Below are 21,960 nucleotides of genomic sequence, written 5' to 3'. Positions count from 1 at the left end.
CTGGAGTGCAATGGCATGGTCTTGGTTCACTGCAACCTCCGCCTCCTAGGTTTAAGCAATTCTCCTGCCTCAGCCTCCCAAGTAGCTGGGATTACAGGTGCGTGCCACCACACCTGGCTAATTTTTGTATTTTTAGTAGAGATGGTGTTTCACTCTGTTGGCCAGGCTGGTCCTGAACTCCTAACCTGGTGATCCACCTGCCTCGGCCTCCCAAAGTGCTGGGATTACAGGCGTGAGCCACCACGCCCGGCCTCCTTACTTTCATATCCATATAATGTGTTACTGCATTTAACATTTGACATAAATAATCTCTTCATATTTTTGTAATGTAACAAACATTTTATTAATTTTATTAACATTACTTTTACATCTGAGAATTTACCAGTATTTTTAAGATAACTCTATAATTTTTTCTAGTTTTTTTTAATAGCCCCTACACAAACTCACAGGATTTAGGGTTTTCGTTTTGTTTTGTTTTGTTTTTTTAACTACCAGCCTTGGAGATGTAATTTAGATTTATGAATCAGCTGTATTACTTTCTAGCCATGTAATTTTGGGTTTGAGTGACCACGTGTCTTAATTTCACTCATTGCAAAATAGGGAAAACAACAGTACCCAATTCATAGGGCTGGTGTGAGGACTAACCAAGTCAACGCACACAAAGTGCCCAGCACAGGGCAAAAATAAGCTTTGATCATGATTGTTTTGTTGTTGTGAAAGTCCATAAGTCTCCTTTTGTCCAAATTTCATCTCACTCTCAGTACACAGGATCTTTCTAAGTCTACATTATAGAAATAGAACTGATAATTTTCTACGCTTATACCTGTAAAATTATTCCCCTGAGAAAATTACACAACTTCAGGATTTTTAAAGCTTACTGGATTTACTTACAAGTTTACATGAGTGCGGCTGGGTGCGGTGGCTCATGGCTGTAATCCCAGCACTTTGGGAGGCCGAAGCGGGAGAATCACTTGAGCTTAGGAGTTTGAGAACAGCCTGGCCAACATGGTGAAATCCCGTCTCTACTAAAAATACAAAAATTAGTCCCATGCCTGGCGCCTGTAATCCCAGCTACTTGGGAGGCTGAGGCAGGAGAATAGCTTGAACCTGGGAGGTGGAGGCTGCAGTGAGCCGAGATTATGCCACTGCACTCCAGCTTGGGCAACAGAGCGAGACTCCATCTCAAAAATAAATAAATAAATAAATAAAGTTTACATGTGTGGTACAGTTTGAGCATCCAAAATCTGAAATGCCCCAAAATCTGAAACTTTTTGAGCACTGACATGATATCACAAGTGGAAAATTCCACACCTGACCTCGTGGGACAGGCCACAGACAAAACACAGGCACACGACACACAGTTTATTCAGTGTCTCCAAGGAAAAAATTAAAATTACCTTCAGGCTCTGTGTACAAGGGGCATATGAAACATAAATGAATTTCATGTTGAGACTCGGGTCCTATCCCCAAGTTATCTCATTACATATATGCAAATATTCCAAAATTCGAAACACTTCTGAAATCCAAAACACTTCTGGCCTGAAGCATTTCAGATAAGGCATACTCAACTTGTATTCTCCCTCAGAATCTAATGTCACTCCTCCAAGGCTCAGCTACCAATTTTAAACTAAAAACTTTTCTTAATTGAGAAATTCATCTCTGTTTCCCATGTGACTGAATTCCTTATATTGTTCATTAGCTCCTCCTGTTTTTTTTGAGACAGAGTCTCACTCTGTTGCCCAGGCTGGAGTGCAGTAGTGCAATCTTGCTCACCACAACCTCCGCCTCCCAGGTTCAAGTGATTCTCCTGCCTCAGCCTCCCAAGTAGCTGGGATAACAGGTGCTCGCCACCACTTCCAGCTAATTTTTGTATTTTTAGTAGAGATGGGGTTTCACCATGTTGGCCAGGCTGGTCTCGAACTCCTGACCTCAAGTGATCTGCCCACCTCGGCCTCCTAAAGTGCTGGGATTATCAAGCCACTGCGCCCGGCCACCTCCTCCTGTTTTATGTCATCAGTAGACATCAGGAATAGCTGGTTAACATCTTTCGTTATAATCCTTAAACTGTGGGAAGGTACTTCAAATAATTATACTATGTAAGCCTCCTTTATGCACTGACTGGGAAGGAGTCCAACGTTCTCATACATATTTTTAACTTGGCTAATTCATAAAATATTACCCTTTCTTTCATAGGTAATATTAGGATCAGCAGGCGCTCATGTGAAATAATTTTTTGTACTGTACAAATTATCCAACTCCTTTCCTAATTATCTGTTTAGAATTTGGATAATTTCAGAGCTGATCTGGGTCAAGAATTAATTAAAAACAACATTGAATATAACATTTAAATAAAAGTCAACTTGATCTTAAAATTGGATATTAAACCACCTTTAAGCTAGATGGAGCTGAACACCAGGCAGTTCCACAAGATTTCCACAAGGAGTTTTATTTGTGAAAGGAATTAATAAAAAACGGGCAAGACAATTTATTAAAAGTAGCCTGTTCAATGGAGGGCAGGGAAGATGTTTTAAAGTAAGATTCTTCCATTTGTGTATAGATATTTTCTTTCTGGGTTTTTGTTTGTTTGTTTGTTTGTTTTGAGACAAGGTATTGTTCAGTCACCCAGGTTGGAGTGCAGTGGCGCGATCACAGCTCACTGCAGCCTTAACTCCCGGGCTCAAGCTATCCTCCCGCCTCAGCCTCCTGAGTAGCTGAGACCACAGGTGTGTGCCACCACACTCGGCTAATTTTTTAATTTTTTGTGGAGACGGGTTTTGCCATGTTGCCCAGGCTGATTTTGAACTCCTGGGCTCAAGTAATCCTCCCACTTCAGCCTCTCAAAGTGTTGGGATTACAGGCAGAGCCTCCTTCTACTTTTCTAAAATGGGGTCCCAAACATGATACTGCTCATCATCAGAAGTGGGAAGAGGAACCTTGGAGCATACAGTGAAACTGTGAGAATCAGTGGTGTGAGGAACTTTAGGGACAGCTCTCTTTCTCCCTCTCTGTCACACACACGCACACACTTATTCTTGTTCTCCCCCTTACTTGGTGGAAAGGAGCCATATCACCATCCCTGTTTTGTTTTGTTTCTTTTGCTCTGGCATAAATAATATAATAACCTGGTGCAATAACCAAAAGGATAGAAAGGCACACAGTGAAAAATGTATGAAAAGGTGCTTAACTTAATCATTAGAGAAATGCAAAGTGAAACTACAATGAGGCACCCCTACACACCCACGAGACAATACCAGATGTTGGGAAGGGTATGAAGCACTCAGGACTCTCACACACTGCTGATAAGTGTAAATTGGTACAACCCTGTTGGAAAACTCTATGGTAGTACCTACTAAAGTTGAGCATATGCTTACTCTGTGATCCAGCAATTCCACTCCTAGGTATGTATCTGACATGAATCATCAAACAATATGCACTAAAATCCCAGCAGCACTATTTGTATTAGCCCCTAAGAGTGGGATAAATTGCAGCAGACTCATACAATGGAATATTATGTAACAGTGAAAAGGAATAATCCACAGCTACATATAACATAAATAAGCTGGGCGTGGTGGCTCAAGCCTGTAATCCCAGCACTTTGGGAGGCCGAGGCGGGCGGATCACGAGGTCAGGAGTTCAAGACCAGCTTGGCCAATGTTAGAAACAAAATGCTTGTTCCTCGGTGCCACAAAGAAATAGCACTCGAACATAAATTTAATTTTCACAGCAAGACAATTTTTACTTCTATAGAAGGGTGCGACTCGTGAATGGAGTAATGGCAAGAGCACACCTGAACAAGGGAGGGGAAGGGGTTCTTATTCCTGACACAGGTAGCCCCTACTGCTGTGTCGCTCCCCTATTGGCTAGGGTTGGACTGCACAGTCTAAGCTAATTCTGATTGGCTACTTTAAAGAGACCAGGGGTATGAGCCAGAGTGGCGGGGTGAATAGTTTGGTGGGAAGGACGGTTAGGAACAGGTAACTAAAGGTGACTTAGGTCAGAGCAGGGACCAGGGGTGACTCAGGTCAAAGCGGATGACCGGGGTGAGTCAGGACGGAGCAGGTAACCAGGGGAACAGATGTGAACTACTGATGAAAACTGGTGGAAAATGTTGTTTACTGAAACTACGAGGAAGTTAAACTTTACAATGGAGGACAAAGAACTGAACATACTGACATACTGATTCTTTGAAGAGAGATCTAGATCTCACTGTATCCAACAGCCAATATGGTGAAACCCCATTTCTACTAAAAATACAAAAATTAGCCGGGCGTGGTGGCACACGCCTGTACTCCCAGCTACTCGGGAGGCTGAGGCAGAAGAATCGCTTGAACCCGGGAGGTGGAGGTTGCAGTGAGCCAAGATGTAAGCCAAGATGGCGCCACTGCACCTCAGCCTGGGCGACAGAGCGAGATTCCGTCTCTAAATAAATAAATAAAGAAATCTCAGTCATAAATGTTGAGAGAAAGGAGCCTAACATAAAAGAATACATGCTGTATGATTCAATTTACATAAAGTTCAAAACAGACAAACTCAATAGTATTAGAAGTCATTCATAAAAGGATGTAGCTGCTAAAAAAGAAAAAGCAAAAAGGATAGTGGTATTCTTGGTGGCGAAAATGACTGGGAACAAGTAGGAAGAGAGCATCTGGAGTGCTGGCAATGTTTTGTTTCTTGATCTACATGCTGGTTACATAAGTGTGTTCACTTTGTGAAAATTCAGCAAGCTGGATGCTTACTTTTAGTGCACTTGTCTGTACATCTGTTATACTGCAATTAAAAGTTTCATCAAAAAGGAAGTCTACAGTATGTGTTAGGTAGAATAATATCTCCCCCAAAGTTGTACACATCCTAATCCCCAGAACCCATGACTGTGTTAGGTTATATAGCAAAAGGAAATTAATGTTGCTAATCAGCTGTCCTTAAAATAGGGAGATTATCCTGGATTTTACAGGCGGACACAATGTAAACACAGGAGTCCTTCAAAGTGAAAGGGGAAAGTGCAGAGGCCAGGAGTTGGAGACCAGCCTGGGCAACACAGTGAGACCCCTTCTCTACAAAAATGAAAATAAATTAGCTGGGCATGGTGGCATGCACCTGTAGTCCCAGCTATTTGGGAGGCTAAGGCAGGAGGATCACTTCAGCTCAGGAGTTTAAGCCTTCAGTGAACTGTGACCCTGAAAAAAAAACTTGGAATGGCAAGGCAGAGAATAAAAGAGATATAGACAATAGACAGAAGTAGGGGCAGGGTCAGAGAGAGATGCTTGAAGACGAAGGGTTCATAAGCCAAGGAATATGGGCCGCCTCAAGAATCTGAAAAAGACAAGGAAATCTATTATCTCCTAGAGCCTCCAGGAAGGAACTCAGTCCTGCCAACACCTTGATTTTAGCCCAGTGAGACCCATATTGGACTGTTTGTTTATTTATTATTACTATATTTTTTTGCCCCCTCACAGGACAAAGCTAAAACCTTGTTGGACTTTTAACCTACAGAACTGTAAGATAATACACTTGCATTATTTAAACCCACTAAATTTGTGGTAATGTTACAGCAGGAATAGGAGGCTAATACAGTTGGTGTGGGGGAAGATCAAGTGTTCAGTTTTGGATGCATTCGGTGGCTGAACACGTTAGACGTCTTAAGTGGAGATGTTCAATAGGCAGTTGGATACATGACTCTGGAAATCATCAGGGAGGTATGGGCTGGAGATGTAAATTCTTTTTTTGTTTTGTTTTGGTTTTGAGACGGAGTCTCGCTCTGTCGCCCAGACTGGAGTGCACTGGCACAATCTCGGCTCACTGCAACCTCGACCTCCTGGGTTCAAGCGAATCACCTGCCTCAGCCTCCTGAGTAGCTGGGATTATAGCTGCCTGCCACCACGCCCGGCTAATTTTTTTGTATTTTTAGTAGAGACGGGATGTCACATGTTGGCCAGGCTGGTCTCGAACTCCCGACCTCAGGTGATCCACCCGCCTCGGCCTCCCAAAGTGCTGAGATTACAGCTGTGAGCCACCACGCCCGGCCTGGACATGTAAATTCTAGAGTAGAGTTGTCAGCAAAGACAGAAAAGCCAAAAGAATGAATGAGATTAATAAAGGAGTGAGTGTACATAGAAAAGAGGTCTAAGGACTGAGCCCTGGGACACTTTATTCTGGCAACTGACAAACAGCTGGTGGTTTAAAGCTAGTGAGGACACCAAAACAGAGGCATACACTACCAACATGCAAGTGCAGAGCTAAGCAGTAGGTCAGAGGCAGATGCATAAACAAGGCTCATAAGAACGGCCAGGTACTGAAAGCAAGAGTAACAGATGTCAAATACAGGGAAACCGTTTTAGCCACAGGAATAGGAATCCAAGAATAGGCTGGACAATTGGAGTGAGAAAATTTAAGTGCAGAGTCAGGGGAATATATTCTAGAGGTCGGCAAAAATGGGAGTTGGCCCTTAGGCAGCTTTCTGCCTTGGGCTCCTATTGCATCTTTAATTTGGTTTCTGTCCTCTATGGGTGTCTGTGTCTCTCTCTCTTTTTGAGATGGAGTCTCACTCTGTCACCCAGGTTGGAGTGCGGTGGCACAACCTCGGCTCACTGCAACCTCCGCCTCCCAGGTTCAAGTGACTCTCCTGCCTCAGCCTCCCAAATAGCTGGGACTACAGGCGCCTGCCACCATGCCCAGATAATTTTTGTATTTTAGTAGAGACAGGGTTTCACCAAGTTGGCCAGGCTGGTGTCGAACTCCTGATCTCAGGTGATCCGCCGGCCTCGGCCTCTCAAAGTGCTGGGATTACAGGAATGTGCCACCACGCCCTGCTAATTTTTTTTGTTTTTAGTAGAGACAGGGTTTCGCCAAGTTAGCCAGGCTGGTCTCGAACTCCTGACCTCAGGTGATCCACCCACCTTGGCCTCCTAAAGTGCTGGGATTACAGGCGTGAGCCACCACGCCTGGCCGACTGATCTGCTTTCTATCACTGTGGTTTTATTTTTCTAAAATTTCATATAAATGGAATTGTACAACATGTACTCTGTGTCTAGATTCTGTCACTCAACATAATCACTGTTAGATTCACATTTGGATTGTTTCCAGTTTGGAGTTATTATAAATAATGTAAAATTGGCCCTTTTTAAGTGAAGATGGTGATCGCAACTAAATCAAGTTGGGTTTTATTTTTATTCCCCTCCCTGTGGGACATCAGTACCTGGGGAGAAGGATCCTTTTGCTAAAATAAGGTGATGAAAACAAATCTTGTATATTTTAGTCATATTACTCCTTTAAATATCAGTATCTTGTGTTTATTTATTATTATCCTTCTTTTTTATATACAGGGTCTCGCTCTGTCGCCCAAGCTGGAGTGCAGCGGCGCGATCATGGCTCACTGCAGCCTCGAATTCCTGGGCTCAAGATCCTCTCTTCTCAACCTTCCCGAGCAGCTGGGACTACAGGCGTGCGCCACTGAACTCGGCTAATATTGTAGTATTTACTAAGTATCTGTAAATCCTAATCAATATAAGGAAAATAAAGTTTTTTAAATGTTAGGCTTTTTCTTTTAGTTGTAGGAAAATAAATGCTAAAGCCTCTGAATTCAATGATAAAAAATACAAGTCGCTCCCCTAGTGAGGCAAAATTTGGACGGCATTGAGTTTATCTGATGGAAACTAAGCGTGAAGAACCTATCTTTCGACCTGGAAAACTCTGAAGATGAAAGGATTCGATTTACTCACAAACAGGGACCCTGAGATAGCTCTGGCCCCTGAACGCCCAACAAAAGCGGGTAGCTGCTTTGTATGCCGGGATTTGTAGTCCCCGACAGAGTCACTTCAAGATGGCGGAATTGCTAATGACGCGCGAAGGGGCGGGCCCCGAGGGAGTCTGGGCCGCGAGGGGATTGGGTGGCGCAGGAACTTGGCGGGCGGGAAGTAAAAACCAGGTGTTAAAACCTTTGCACTGGGAAAGGCCCAAGTCTCGCGAGAGCTTGGCAGGACCCAATGGAACGTGGGGCCCGACTTATCACAAGGGGCATTTGTTGGGGGCGGAGCTTTGACGGGAGCTTCCCGGGAGCCGTTTGTGCCCGGGGTAACCCCGTTCCGGCCAAGCCGCTTCAGCGGGGGACGTAGCCATGAAGGAAGAGAAGGAGCACAGGCCTAAGGAGAAGCGAGTAACCCTGTTAACCCCCGCCGGGGCCACAGGCAGCGGTGGTGGGACCTCGGGGGACAGCTCCAAGGGGGAAGATAAGCAGGATCGCAACAAGGAGAAGAAAGAAGCGCTGAGCAAGGTGCCCGGTCGGCCGCTGGCCCGGGAGAGGGCGGGACGAGTCCGCAGCGCGGGGAGGATGGCTGGGAATGGGGCTGCCCCCTTTCTTTCTCAGGTTCTCCTTCTATCTCTTCGCCTGAATGGAAGTCGCATCATCCTGGTTCATCCATTCACCCGAAATGGGGAGAGCCCCTCCCGGCCAAATCCTGGGTGGGGGTGAGGAAAAGAGGGGACTCCCCAAACGGGAAGGGTTTAGGTCAGAGCTGTGAGATGATAATGGGAGGGAAGAGCGACGGTATAAAGAATGAGGAACTAAAGGTGTAATTGGGGAGAAATATTAAATAGTGAAGGAGACATGAGGGATGGGAATATTATTCATGGAGGCGAGTTGGGGGAGAGTGCAGGGTGATTAATGGTACAGGAGGGTAGATCGAGAGCATCCTATTTTGAGAGCAATGGGTAGATTTTTTGTATTCGTTAGAGTTTTGAATTCTTAAGTTCAATGGGCAAGGATTTTGTTTTAAGATGTGTTGGACGTGGGAGAAACTTGTTGCTAAATCAAGATTTCGTGGCACCCACAAAGACCAGCGTTGGCTTACTAAGTTATTGCCACTAGATCTGTTAAAAAATGGGTGATCGAAAATGATGCACAAACCTGGTAAACTGCAGGGCTGCTGTAAAGAGCAAAACCTGCGATTTTTCCTTGCTCCAGGTGGTTCTCATTTCCAAGGGTTTTTTTAAACCGCGTTACTATTATGTTTGACTAATTCTGAGCATTGGGCTGCAGAAGAATATTTTCTCCTGGGTTTTTACAAGTGATCTCATATTTTAAAGCCCAGCCTTCTTCAGGAACTGTGATTCTTTCAGGTATGACAGAAAACTGATTTGTACTAATTTTATTTTCCTTATGCATTTCTTAAGGTGGTAATTCGAAGATTACCTCCCACTTTGACCAAGGAGCAGCTTCAGGAACATCTTCAACCTATGCCTGAGCATGATTATTTTGAGTTTTTTTCTAATGATACGAGGTAAAAAAAAAAAAAAAAGGAAAGGGGTAAATGAAAAAGGTTTCTTTCATTCTTTTTATCCTACTGTTTTTCATTTGATTTTTGAGCTTGTCTTTAATATATGCATACTTGTAATTGGGCCAGACACCTGCGAGTACATTTACATAATTGCTTTCCTCTCTGCAGTTTGTATCCTCATATGTATGCCAGAGCATACATCAACTTTAAAAACCAAGAGGACATTATTTTGTTCAGGGATCGCTTTGATGGTTATGTATTCCTTGACAATAAAGGTGAGTCCTGGTAACTGAAGTAAAAAGGGAATTTCTTTGTCATTTGTATGTTTAAGACAACTCGTGCATTGCGTTGCTTCCTAGAGTTTTACACATTTAATAAGCTTATTGCAGTCTTATAAATAGACGTGACTTTTCACAGTCCTTGGTTATTTTTATTAACCTACTATTTTTTTAGTTTGATCAACTGAGTGAAATTGCAACTGTTTTCTCCTCGTGTGACACATTTTTTGCCCTGGCTTAAACCTGCTGTTTTGACTGTAGAATTTCAGCCGCAGTACTGATAAGTGACTCTTAAACTTGTTTGATAAGTTTTAAATATTTACTTCTTATTTTGCTTCGAGGACAAACATTTATTTAATTCAAATCCATTAAGCCAACAGTTCCCAATTGGGATACTGTTTAACATTCTCACAAAGTTGTATATAATTAAAACATGAAACTTGATACATCTCGGCCTGGTGTGGTGGCTCACGCCTGTTATCCCAGCACTTTGGGATGCCGAGGCAGGTGGATCACGAGGTCAGGAGATCGAGACCAGCCTGGCCAACGTGGTGAAACCCCATCTCTACTAAAAATGCTAAAAAAATTAGCCAGGCGTGGCGGTCCACGCCTGTAATCCCAGCTACTTGGGAGGCTGAGGCAGAAGAATCGCTTGAACCTGGGAGGCAGAGGTTGCAGTGAGCTGAGATCACGCCACTGCACTCCAGCCTGGCGACAGAGCGAGACTCTGTCTCAAAATCGAAAAAAAGAAACTTGATACATCTCTTACTTTATATCCAGAAAGGTCCAGTCTATAGGGAAGACACATTTCTACTTTAACACTCTATTATCTGCTACCTACATTTAGCCAGAGAATATCTAAGCTGCCATTTGCCACTTTTCTTTTTGGTTTGCAATTATAGGTAAATAGTGTGTCTTCTTGTTTTGTTTTGTTTTTTTCAATATTACTTCAAAGTTGGTAAAAATTAAATTTTTGTCAGGGACTATGCCAGTAAAAATTGAAGGATTGCCACTGTTTGTCCAACTTTTATTAATCTCCCCAAGCCAGCTATTTTTCCACTCCAACTATTTTATTCCAGTAGATATTTAACTAGATTCTAGTTACTTAGCCTGGAAATCTGAGTTGTGTTTAATTTTTTCCTTTTTTAAAAATCTCTTACATGTAAGTTATGAATCTTGTCAATTTATTGTTTATCTTTTGAGATAGGGTCTCCACCCAGGCTGGAGTGCTGTGGCGCAATCAGAGCTCACTGCAGCCTGGAATTCCTGGACTCAAGCAATCCTCCCACCTCAGCCTCCTGAGTAGCTGGGACTACAGATGTATGTCACCATGCCTGGCTAATTTTCTTTAAATTTTTTATAGAGATGGGGTCTCACTACGTTGCCCAGGCTGGTCTTGAACTCCTGGGCTCAAGTGATTTCCCCCCCCCCACCTCAGCCTCCCAAAGTGCTGGGATTACAGGTGCGAGCCACCATACCCAGCTCAACACCACTTATTAAAGAGACTATCCTTTCCTCATTGTGTTTTTTGTTTGTTTGTTTGTTTTGTTTTGTTTTTAAATCTTAGAGACAAGGTCTGCTTATGTTGCCCAGGCTGGATTTTATTGTTTTTTTTTAATATCTTGTTCACCTAGCCTTAAACAGTCACACTTTATGTCCTCATCACTTAATGCCTAGACAACCACTGTCTCTAAACTTACAGGATTTTCCATTTTTTTCATTCTTGTATAATTCAGTCTATTATATTGCCATGAAATTAATCTTTTTGAAAATAATGATTTAAATTAACAGTTGGGGGAAAAAGTCCAAACTCCTTAGCCTGGTAGTCAGGGTCCTCCATATTCTGGCCTCACTTCTGTTTCTTCAGCCTGTCTTCCACAATTTCCCTCTGTTTCAGTCTGGTTTATCTATTCCTTCTCAAATATATCACAGTTTTGTTTTTTGGTTTTTATTTTTGTTTTTTTTCTTTTTCTTCTCTCTCTCTCTCTTTTTTTTTTTGAGACAGAGTCTTAACTCTGTCGCCCAGGCTGGAGTACAGTGGCACAATCTTGGCTCATTACAACCTCCGCCTCCTGGGTTCAAGCAATTCTCGTTCCTCAGCCTGCCGACTTAGCTGGGATTACAGGTGTGTGCCGCCACGCCCAGCTAATTTTTGTAATTTTAGGAGATGGGGTTTCACCATGTTGGCCAGGCTGGTCTCAAACTCCTGGCCTCAAGCAATCCACCCGCCTCAGCCTCCCAAAGTGCTGGGATTACAGGCGTGAGCCACCATGCCTGGCCTAATATATCACAGTTTTGAAGCTAATCTGATTCTCTACTCACTGGGATTCCCAACATAATTTTTCCTCCATGACTGCTTTGCAGTGCCTTCTGGTCAATTCTGTTTATTTTTATTTTTCTGCTTATGTCTACATGCCAATGATTTAAGGATAGGATACCTTGTTTTTGACATTCTGTGACAGGGTGCTTGTGAATTTTTTTCCCATTAGTCACTTGGGGTTTTTGTATTGAAATATAACTCACCTATAATAAAATTCATCCTCTTAAAGCGTACAATTCAGTGGTTTCTGGTATATTCACAAGGTAGTACAACCATCAGTACTAATTCCAGAATGTTTTCATCCCTCCAAAAAGAAACCCATATCTATTAGTAGTTACCTCCCATTCTCTCCCTCCAGCCCCTGGCAACCACTAATCTACTTTATGTATCTATGATTTCCCTCCATTTCATATAAATGTAATCATACAATATGTGGTCTTTTCTGACTGGCTTCTTTTACCTAGCACAATGTTTTCAAGGTCCATCCATGTTGTAACATATAACATATATCATTACCTCATTCCTTTTGCATTTTTAAAAATTGTAAAAATACACGTAACATAAAATTTACCATCTTAACCATTTTAAGTGTACAGTTCAGTAGCATTAAGGTATATTCACACTGTTGTGCAACAATCTTGGGAACTTTTTCATCTTGAAAAACTGAAACTCTTTACCCATTAAACAACTCCTTATTTCCCTTCCTCCAGCCCCTGGCAACCACCATTATACCTTGTGTCTGTATGAGTTTCACTACTGTAGGTACCACATATAGGTGGAAACATACAGTGTCTGTCTGGCTTATTTCATTTAGCATAATATCTTCAAGGTGTATCCATGTCGTAGCATGTGTCAGAATTTTCATCTTTTTTTTTTTTTTTTTTTTTTTTGAGATGGAGTCTCACTTTGTTGCCCAGGCTGGAATGCAGTGGCGCGATCTCAGCTCACTGCAACCTCCGCTTCCTGGGTTCAAGCAATTCTCCAGCCTCAGCCTCCCAAGTAGCTGGGATTACAGGTACCCACCACCACAGCTGGCTAATTTTTTTGTACTTTTGGTAAAGATGGGGTTTCACTGTGTTGGCCAGGCTAGTTTCAAACTCCTGACCTGAAGTGACATGCCTGCCTCAGCCTCCCAAAATGCTAGGAATTACAGGCATGAGCCACTGCCCCCAGCCTCATTTTTAAGACTAATATTCCAGTATATGTATATACCACATTTTGTGTATCCATTCATCTGTCAAGGGGTATTCGAGTTGCTTCCACTCTTGGCTATTGTGAACAATATTGTTATGAACACAGATGTGCACATATTCGAGTCCTTGTTCTCACTGCTTTTGGATATATACCGAGAAATGGAATTTCTGGAGTCATTTGGTAATTCTATTTTTATTTTATTATTTATTTATTTTGAGACAGAGTCTCTGTCACACAGGCTGGAGTGCAGTGGCATGATCTTGGCTCACTGCAACCTCCACCTCCCAGGTGCAAGCAATTCTCCTGCCTCAGCCTCCCAAGTATCTGGGATTACAGACACCTGCCACCACACCCTGCTAATTTTTTATGTTTGTGGTAGAGACGGAGTTTCACCATGTTGGCCAGGCTGGTCTCAAACTCCTGACCTCAAGTGATGCGCCCACCTCGGCCTCTCAAAGTGCTGAGGTTACAGGTGTGAGCCACTGTGCCCCGCCGGTAGTTCTTTTTTGTTTTGTTTTGTTTTTTTGAGATGGAATTTCGCCCTCATTGCCCAGGCTGGAGTAAGTACAATGGCGCGATCTTCCCTCATTGCAACCTCCACCTCCTGGGTTCAAGCAATTCTCCTGCCTCAGCCTCCTGAGTAGCTGGGATTACAGGTGCCCACCACCACACCCAGCTAATTTTTGTATTTTTAGTAGAGATGGGGTTTTACCATGTTAGTCAGGCTGGCCCAATAATTCTATTTTTAATGTTTTATGGAACTGCCATACTGTTTTCCATGCAGCTGCATCATTTTACATTCCCACCAATACATGAGTGTTCCAGTTTCTCCACATCTTTGCCAACACTTGTTATTTTCTGCTTTTTGATAGTAGTCCTCCTAATAGGCGTGAGATGATACCTCATTGTGGTTTTGATTTGCATTTCCCTAATGACTAGTAATGTGGAACATATTTCCATATGCTTGTTAGCCATTTGTATATTATCTTTGAAGAAATGTCTATTCAAGTCTTTTGACCATTTTTTAAATTGGGTTATTTGGTTTTTTGTTGTTGAGTTATAGGAGTTCTTTATATATTCTCGATATTACCCCTTATCAGATAATATAATTTGCAAATATTTCTCCCATTCCATGGGTTGCCTTTTCACTCTGTTGATTGTGTCTTTTGATGCATAGAAGTTTCTAATTTTGACGTAGTCCAATTTATCTATTTTTTACTTTTTTTAAATAAGAGATATACTTTATATTTTTGTTTTATTGTGGTAAGAACACTTAACATGAGATCTACCCTCTGTATTTTTACTTTTGTTGCCTGTGCTTTTGGTGTCCTGGTGTATTTTTTTTTAAGTGTTAACAGATTTTTCCCCAGCTTTATTGAGCTATAATTGACAAATAAAATAATATATATTTAAATTTTACTATGTAATAATTGTTTTTTCTTTTTTCTTTTTCTTTTTTTTTTTTTTTTTTTACCAGGCTCGAGTGCAGTGGCACAATCTCAGCTTACTGCAACCTCCGCCTCCCAGGTTCAAGTGATTCTCCTGCCTCAGTCTCCCAAGTAGCTGGGATTACAGGCGTGCACTATCACGCCTGGCTAATTTTTGTATTTTTATTTATTTTTATTTTTATGTATTTATTTTTTTGAGACGGAGTCTTACTCTGTCGCCCAGGCTGGAGTGCAGTGGCATGATCTCGGCTCACTGCAATCTCTGCCTCCTGGGTTCAAGTGATTCTCATGCCTCAGCCTCCAGAGTAGCTGGGATTGCAGGCACGTGCCACCACGCCCAGCTAATTTTTGTATTTTTAGTAGAGACAGTGTTTCACCATGTTGGCCAGGCAGGTCTCAAACTTCTGACCTCAGGTGATCCTCTCATCTCGGCCTCCCAAAATGCTGGGATTATAGGCATAAGCCACGGTGCCCAGCCCAACGTGATAATTTTATATATGTATACATTATGAAATGTATACATTATGAAATGTATACATATTGTATACATATATACATTATGAAATGTATACATAATGTATACATATATACATTATGAAATATATACAATCAAGTTAACACATTCATCACCTCACATAACACATCACCTCAAATAGTTACACTTTTAAAAAATAACAGCTTTATTGAGATATAATTCACATGCCTGAAATAGTCACCCTTTTAAAGTATACAGTTCAGTGAATTTTAGTATATTCATAGGCTTATGAGCCTATCACCACAATCTAAATTTAGAACATGTTCATCACCCCTAAGAGAAACCCCACCCATTAGTTGTCACTCCTCATTCTTCTCACCACTTCTACCCCAAACTCCAGGCAGCTACTACTCTACGTTCTGTCTCTATAGATTTGCCTATTTTGGAGATTTCTAACATTTTAAAATGAAAAATAGTTTGTAGGGTCTTTTTCACATTAAAATATCACATTTTATAAGTTGAATTTATATGAATATTTTACTTTCATGCCGTGTTGTTTCACTATGTTATCAGTGTGAATTTGTGGCTCCTTTTGTAGTATGTTGATTATGGTTGTGCCAGTGTGCTTTATGCCTTTGGGAGACCCTCTTCAGATGACTGCCATCAAAAGAGTCATAGAAAGCAATGGGTTGATTCCCTTATATCCACTTTTGACATTTTCTTTGTTATAGCAAGTGTGGTATTTTTTTTCTAAACAGGTCAGGAATATCCCGCTATAGTAGAATTTGCACCTTTTCAAAAAGCTGCAAAAAAGAAGACTAAGAAAAGAGATACCAAAGTCGGGACTATCGATGATGGTACAGTATAGCTCTAATTATATAATGCTATTGCTGTGGGGTTTTTAAAAATAATATCTTTGTGAGAGTTAATTCGACCCCAAAATTTTAAATTAGAAAATATACAAAATAAAGTAAGTGAGAAATGTTATTTGCCGATGGAAGCTTTGCTTAATTGTTAGACTAGAGAGAGTTTCTTGCACAGAATCTCTGCTCTCTTTGGCTAGGGCATTTCATTCTTCAACCATTGAACAATATAATGTTGACTATTGAGTAACAAATCACCATAGGTTTATTGATTAGAAGATAGTGGAAAGGCCAGGCGTGGTGGCTCACGCCTATAATCCCAGTACTTTGGGAGGCCAAGGCGGGCGGATCATCTGAGGTCAGGAGTTTGATACCAGCCTGACCAACATGGAGAAACCCTGTCTCTACTAAAAATATAAAATTAGCCGGGTATGGTGGTGCATGCCTGTAATCCCAGCTATTCGGGAGGCTGAGGCAGGAGAATCTCTTGAACCCAGGAGGCGGAGGTTGCAGTGAGCTGAGATCACACCATTGCACTCCAGCCTGGGCAACAAGAGCGAAACTCCATCTCAAAAAAAAAAGAAAAAGAAAATAGTGGAAAAAAATCAGGTTTCAAAGTTTAACAGGTGCTTCTTGAGGCCTCACCATTTTTATGATTATTTATTTGACTTTTGGTTTCCATTATATTTATAAAGAAGAAGGTTTGAACTGTCATGGGAAAATTTCCATACCCAGGTAACTTTGTATAAAGTAGCTGAAGTTGTCACTCCTATTTTCTGGTCTTTGGATATACAATTAGCTACACACATAGTATTAGGTTGAACAGGAATAGAAGAACTGAGGCCAGGCGCGGTGGCTCACTCCTATAATCCCAGCACTTTGGGAGGCCAAGGCGGGCAGAGTTGCTGAGGTCAGGAGTTCGAGACCAGCCTGGCCAACATGGTGACACCCCATCTCTACTAAAAACACAAAAATTAGCTAGGCATGGTGGCGGGCACCTGTAATCCCAGCTGCTTGGGAAGCTGAGGCAGAAGAATCACTTGAACCCGGGAGGCGGAGGTTGCAGTGAGCTGAGACCGCACCATTGCACTCCAGCCTGGACAACAAAAGCAAAACTCCGTCTCAAAAAAAAAGAAAGAAAGAAAGAAATACAAGAACTGAAAAACCAAAATAATTGCCATTTAAGGTACACTGGCTCCAGATTTTGAGACCTCTGTAATGTTATGTTAGATAGCTGTTACACAACTCTTTATGTTGGATAAGGACTAGGACCATATTTTATATCAGATTGTTACTTTAGAATCATCTAGTTTAATTTCCATCATTTGTTACTATTACAGGTATTTTATAAAGAAAACACGGTAAGGACTCAATAACACATAGCTGTGATACTGGTTTTATTACAGATTTAGATCTGGAAGACTTGATCAAGTGACACATAGAAACAAGCAATATAATGGCTTAGATGTGTCACCCTTTCTGATGTTAGAGGTCTAGGAGAGAACTCCAGGAATTCCCATCACCTCAAGTGCCACATCTAGGACTTCTCTCTAATTTATCTTTTTGGAACACCTAACTTAGTTTAGTAGGACAGTGACTTTTAAAAGCAAACTATGTAATACCCCTAGTGGTTCTGTTATAATGCATGGCGTCTCATTTTTCCTGACCCCATGTTATACCAGATTCCTATAGTGAGTATCAGTGATAGGAGTCCTGAGAGCAAGTGACCAATTAAGCTCTAAATAGTCTACCTTGTGGGTATGGTTTGGTTTTTTTTAATCTTCCACGAAGTAAAAAATTATCTTCTTTGATAAATCAGTATTGTAGATAATGTCTTCTTTTTTTGTTTAAAGTCTATTATATTTTCTGTTTCCTCAAATGATTATTTAGATCCAGAATATAGAAAGTTTTTGGAAAGTTATGCCACAGATAATGAGAAAATGACATCTACTCCAGAGACACTGCTAGAGGAAATAGAAGCAAAAAATAGAGAATTAATAGGTAAGTGGGCAAAAAGAATCAGGGCAACAGTCTTTTCATCACAGTACCTAAGTCTCCTACCTCCATCAGTTGCTAGCTGTGTGACTTCAGGGAAGTTACTAGTTTCTCTGAGACTGTTACTGTAAATTGCAGATGGTAATACCTGCCTCACAGCATTATGAGAATCCATTAAAGTGGGAAAAATTCTTTGACCTATTTAGTTTCACACAAATGTAATATAAATACAAAAAGTTCGATGACTGATAAGGAATGTTTAGACAGTGGTAAGCCTTTGAAGGTCAATTGGTATTTTCTAGTAATAAGTTCATATTCCTAAAAAAATTTTGACTTGAAAATACGAAAAAATGAAATTAGTTACTGCAAAATTGAAAACTACTTGAGGAATTCTAGCTTGGATCTTGGTTCTCAGTAATAGGCTGTCACTACTGTATCAGTAGCTCTAAACATGAGCATAATCTTTGACCCAGGATTTCTACTCAGGAATTTATCCTAAGGAATATGTGGGGTTTTTTTGTTTGTTTGTTTGTTTTTTTTGCTTGCTTGCTCGCTCGCTCTCTCTCTGTGTGTGTGTGTGTGTGTGTGTGTATGTGTGTGTGTGTGTGTGTGTGTGAGAGATGGAGTCTTGCTCTGTCGCCCAGGCTGGAGTGCAGTGTCGCAATCTCGGCTCACTGCAACTTCCGCCTCCTGGGTTCAGGCGATTCTGCCGCAGTCTCCCGAGTAGCTGGAAGTACAGGTGTCCGCCACCACGCCCGGCCAATTTTGTATTTTTAGTAGAGCCGGGGTTTCACCATGTTGGCCAGGCTGATCTCGAACTCCTGACCTCAAGTGATCCGCCTGCCTTGGCCTCTGAAAGTGCTGGGATTACAGGCATGAGCCACTGTGCCCGGCCAGGAATATGTGTTTTAAGATGGCTGTAAGGCCAATAGCTTATTCAGAATGTTGAAAATGAAAAATATTCTTCCAAAACTTGACTTTTATTAATAGATGGATAGTACAAGCCTATTTCTGGTAACTTTCTTAGAATAAATTCCCAGAAGTGGAATTATGGGGTCAAAAGGATTAGATATTTTTAGCCCCTTCCCCCCAACTTCTTCCAGTTGAACAAGTTTACACTCCTATCAGTAAAACAAGAGAATGTCCTAAGTACTTAATTCTCATCAGTTGGGAATGACTCTTTTAATAAATTATTTTGTTGTTTTAATTTGAATTTCTTTACTTTTTAAAAGGTATTTTAATCCCGTATTGTTGAAATCGAATGCTGTAAAACTTCTTTCTGATATTACAATTGTGATCTTTCTGCATAAGGGGTGTACATGTTTTCCCACCTTGGGTGGTTGGCAGGGAATGTCAGAAAATGGAATCGTTTCTAGGGGTTGATAAGTATGATTAATAATCTGTTTACATTTATGTAGCTAAAAAGACAACCCCACTTTTGAGCTTCCTGAAAAACAAGCAGGTAAATCTTTTGTCTTTATAGTTCTCTCAATACTTTAATTTCTTTGCTTTGCATTCTATAAACATTTTAAGAGCATTGGGTTTCTAGAGGAGAAATAGCTGCTTTTTCCACCATTACTCTTTAAGGATTTGCCTTCTTGGTCTCACTCTCTAGCCTGCTCCTTCACTCTGGTTGTTGGACCAGGAGTTCACTCTACAAACGTGGAATGTTCTTAGGTTGTCCCAGAGACACTCATTTGATATTCTGAAAGCCTCTGGAGAGATAGTAAGGCAGCAGTGGAAGAATAATATTAGCAGGTTCTGGTCTTCATTGTCTTTCGTTTTCTGGGTGGAGTGGGGATAACGGTGGTAGAATGCCACTTTGTAGAAAGTAGGAAGGAAAGATTATTCAGTTGGGGCCTACCATGACTTCAGGATTTATTAGGGTTTTGGTGATGATTATTTTATTTGAAGGCTTGTGTTGATGTTTCTTTCTAGAGAATGAGAGAAGAAAAGAGAGAAGAAAGGAGGAGGAGAGAAATAGAAAGAAAAAGACAAAGAGAAGAAGAGAGGAGGAAATGGAAAGAAGAAGAGAAACGAAAAAGGAAAGATATAGAAAAGCTAAAGAAGATAGACAGAATTCCAGAAAGGGACAAATTAAAGGATGAACCAAAGATTAAGGTATAAGAATGTTGAAACTGACTGCATGTTGCTAAAAATTGCACGTATCTACTTCTTTAAATATGCATGCGTCTTGTGTTGGTGTAAATGAATTTTTTGTTTTGTTTTTGTTCTCTTTTGGGGGGAAGTGATCCAATAAAAATCTTTCCTGTAATAGTATTAGTTTTTAAATTTAAGATCATTTAAAAGGATAAAGTAGTATGTTATTTCTTCAGTGCAGATCTGTGCTGTTTTTGTCATTGAAAATGTTGGATTTTTAGACTATTGTCCTCTAAATTCATAGTAAATGAGGGCTTAGGGCTGGCTGGCATGATTTATGGTTTTTTTTCAGCTTTTTCTTCATAATTGATACATGAAGTTACCTCATCTGTTTGTTTTCCACTGTCTTCAGGTACACAGGTTTCTGTTACAAGCTGTGAATCAGAAAAATGTAAGGACCAAGTACATGATACAGAGCATCTAGTATCATGTCACACACACAGGTCTTAGCTAATAAGTCCTTTTGGTGGTGGTGGTGGTAGTGTTACTTGTTGAAAACCCCTTCAGGTTGACTTGAGTCTTCTTAAAAGCTGAGCTATTTTATTATAAATTTCTACTTTAAAAGGAAGCCCAGGTGACTTCCTGATGCTCTGCTGTGTGCCCAGAAGCTTCATTGACCTACAGCCAGAGGACAACCATGCCTATATAGTTCTTTCTCATCTTCTTATATGCTTCTCATAACTGGCTGCCTTGTGGGAGGACTAGGGATAAATACCCTGCAATATGTGCCTTTCCCTCTCACATGACTCCCGTAGTATCTTCCTGCATATATCTGGGAATCTGTGAGCAGCAGATTCGGATTCATGCATTGCATTTGGGAAGAAGAAAACCTGCAGAAAGATCCCAACCTTGCCACTTCCCTTCTAAGGGCATGGCTTGGGCAGCCCTTGTTTCAACATATTTCCTGGGGAAGTACTAGTACCTAGCACTTCAGATAAAGTCAAAGAAAATCTCACAGAGAGGGTGGCAGGGTCTCCTTATTTTATTTCCTGAAAACTCAGCAGTTTATGTAGCAAGGGTTCCCTAAGTCTCTACGGGGCTCATTACTGATGATGAGGGGCTTGGGGGAGGATGGAGTTTCTCATCTTAATTCTTTCCAGCAATCTCTCTGTCTGCTATGCCACAAGTGACTTGACTTGCTATTCCTAACAATCAGCAAGGCAGAAGGTAGAGCCAGCCATGCTAGAGACATTCATTAATGTTCTTATTAGAGTAATGAACACCTTGGTTTCTAATAAGGATGTTCATTGGAGAAATAAGAGCACTTCCAATGAAACCTGCACATGGTATCCTCATTTTACACTGGTGCCTTCTCAGTGTCCATTTTGGACTCACCATTTGCAGTGGCTGTCTGTGTGCCAAAATGCTTTGTGCTTATGTCTTGTGGTGCTTTGCCTTTTGCTTAGTAATTTACATGATGCCTTCACCCTGAGATGAACCTTGTGTGATACCTTCACTCTGAGACTTGAAATTCTTCTATTTTGCCTAAGAATCTCTCTGATTATCCGACACTTGGAGGTATTCTCGAGAGATTCATAGCAGCAATGTAAAAAACAATGGCATTTTTGAACATGCGTAAATATGGCATTAAATACAGAGTTCCTACTCAGTAGAGATGGAACTTCACTATTTGGTTGTATAAGGCCTTTAGATTTTTAAATCAAATGCCAAATAATTCTTGTTATTAATCTCTAATGGCAAGATAATTGTACCATCATAAGTATGTTATTCTCAGGCTCAAGGCAAAATTATTCCTGCAATGGATCTCTCCTTTGGTGACCAAGGTATTTGTCATTCCAAGTACTACATAAAAACAGTCCCAACAGAAACGATCTGCCTATCACTTAAAATTTGTGGGCTGTTTCCCATTAAGTTATATCAACATGCTGGTTTGCTACAGAAGCATACTTTGAAGTATGCATTGGTTCACTTAAAGGTTGACCCATTTAAAGCCAAAG

At 41.1% G+C, this 21,960-nt stretch overlaps 1 protein-coding gene across 7 annotated transcripts in view, besides 1 other annotated feature; it reads left to right on the top strand.

The window, feature by feature from the left end:
- Positions 8,042-8,101: an enhancer, noted in NCBI's record as "active region_29901". NCBI's record gives its function as "activates an Ori minimal core promoter by ATAC-STARR-seq in GM12878 lymphoblastoid cells {active_cell/tissue: GM12878}" and the evidence as "EXISTENCE:reporter gene assay evidence [ECO:0000049][PMID:35858748]".
- The window catches only part of UPF3B (UPF3B regulator of nonsense mediated mRNA decay), a 47,653-nt gene continuing 33,768 nt past the window's right edge, over positions 8,076-21,960 (top strand). For 5 of the 7 annotated variants that reach the window (XM_017029738.2, XM_047442375.1, XM_017029740.2 and 2 more), the window contains exons 1-8: positions 8,076-8,266; positions 9,166-9,272; positions 9,438-9,544; positions 15,743-15,841; positions 17,738-17,848; positions 19,261-19,304; positions 19,781-19,963; positions 20,355-20,393. In XM_017029738.2, the coding sequence (XP_016885227.1) occupies positions 8,111-8,266; positions 9,166-9,272; positions 9,438-9,544; positions 15,743-15,841; positions 17,738-17,848; positions 19,261-19,304; positions 19,781-19,963; positions 20,355-20,393 (846 nt within the window). In that variant the 5' untranslated portion in view covers positions 8,076-8,110. The remainder of the gene's footprint in view (positions 8,267-9,165; positions 9,273-9,437; positions 9,545-15,742; positions 15,842-17,737; positions 17,849-19,260; positions 19,305-19,780; positions 19,964-20,354; positions 20,394-21,960) is intronic. The other 2 variants (XM_017029739.2, NM_023010.4) reach the window with 1 other exon arrangement.

The sequence above is a fragment of the Homo sapiens genome, chromosome X (genome assembly GCF_000001405.40).
Source record: "Homo sapiens chromosome X, GRCh38.p14 Primary Assembly".
NCBI classification, from domain to species: Eukaryota; Metazoa; Chordata; class Mammalia; order Primates; family Hominidae; genus Homo; species Homo sapiens.
Note: the sequence above shows the minus strand (reverse complement) of the source record. Positions and strands in the feature narration are given on the sequence as shown.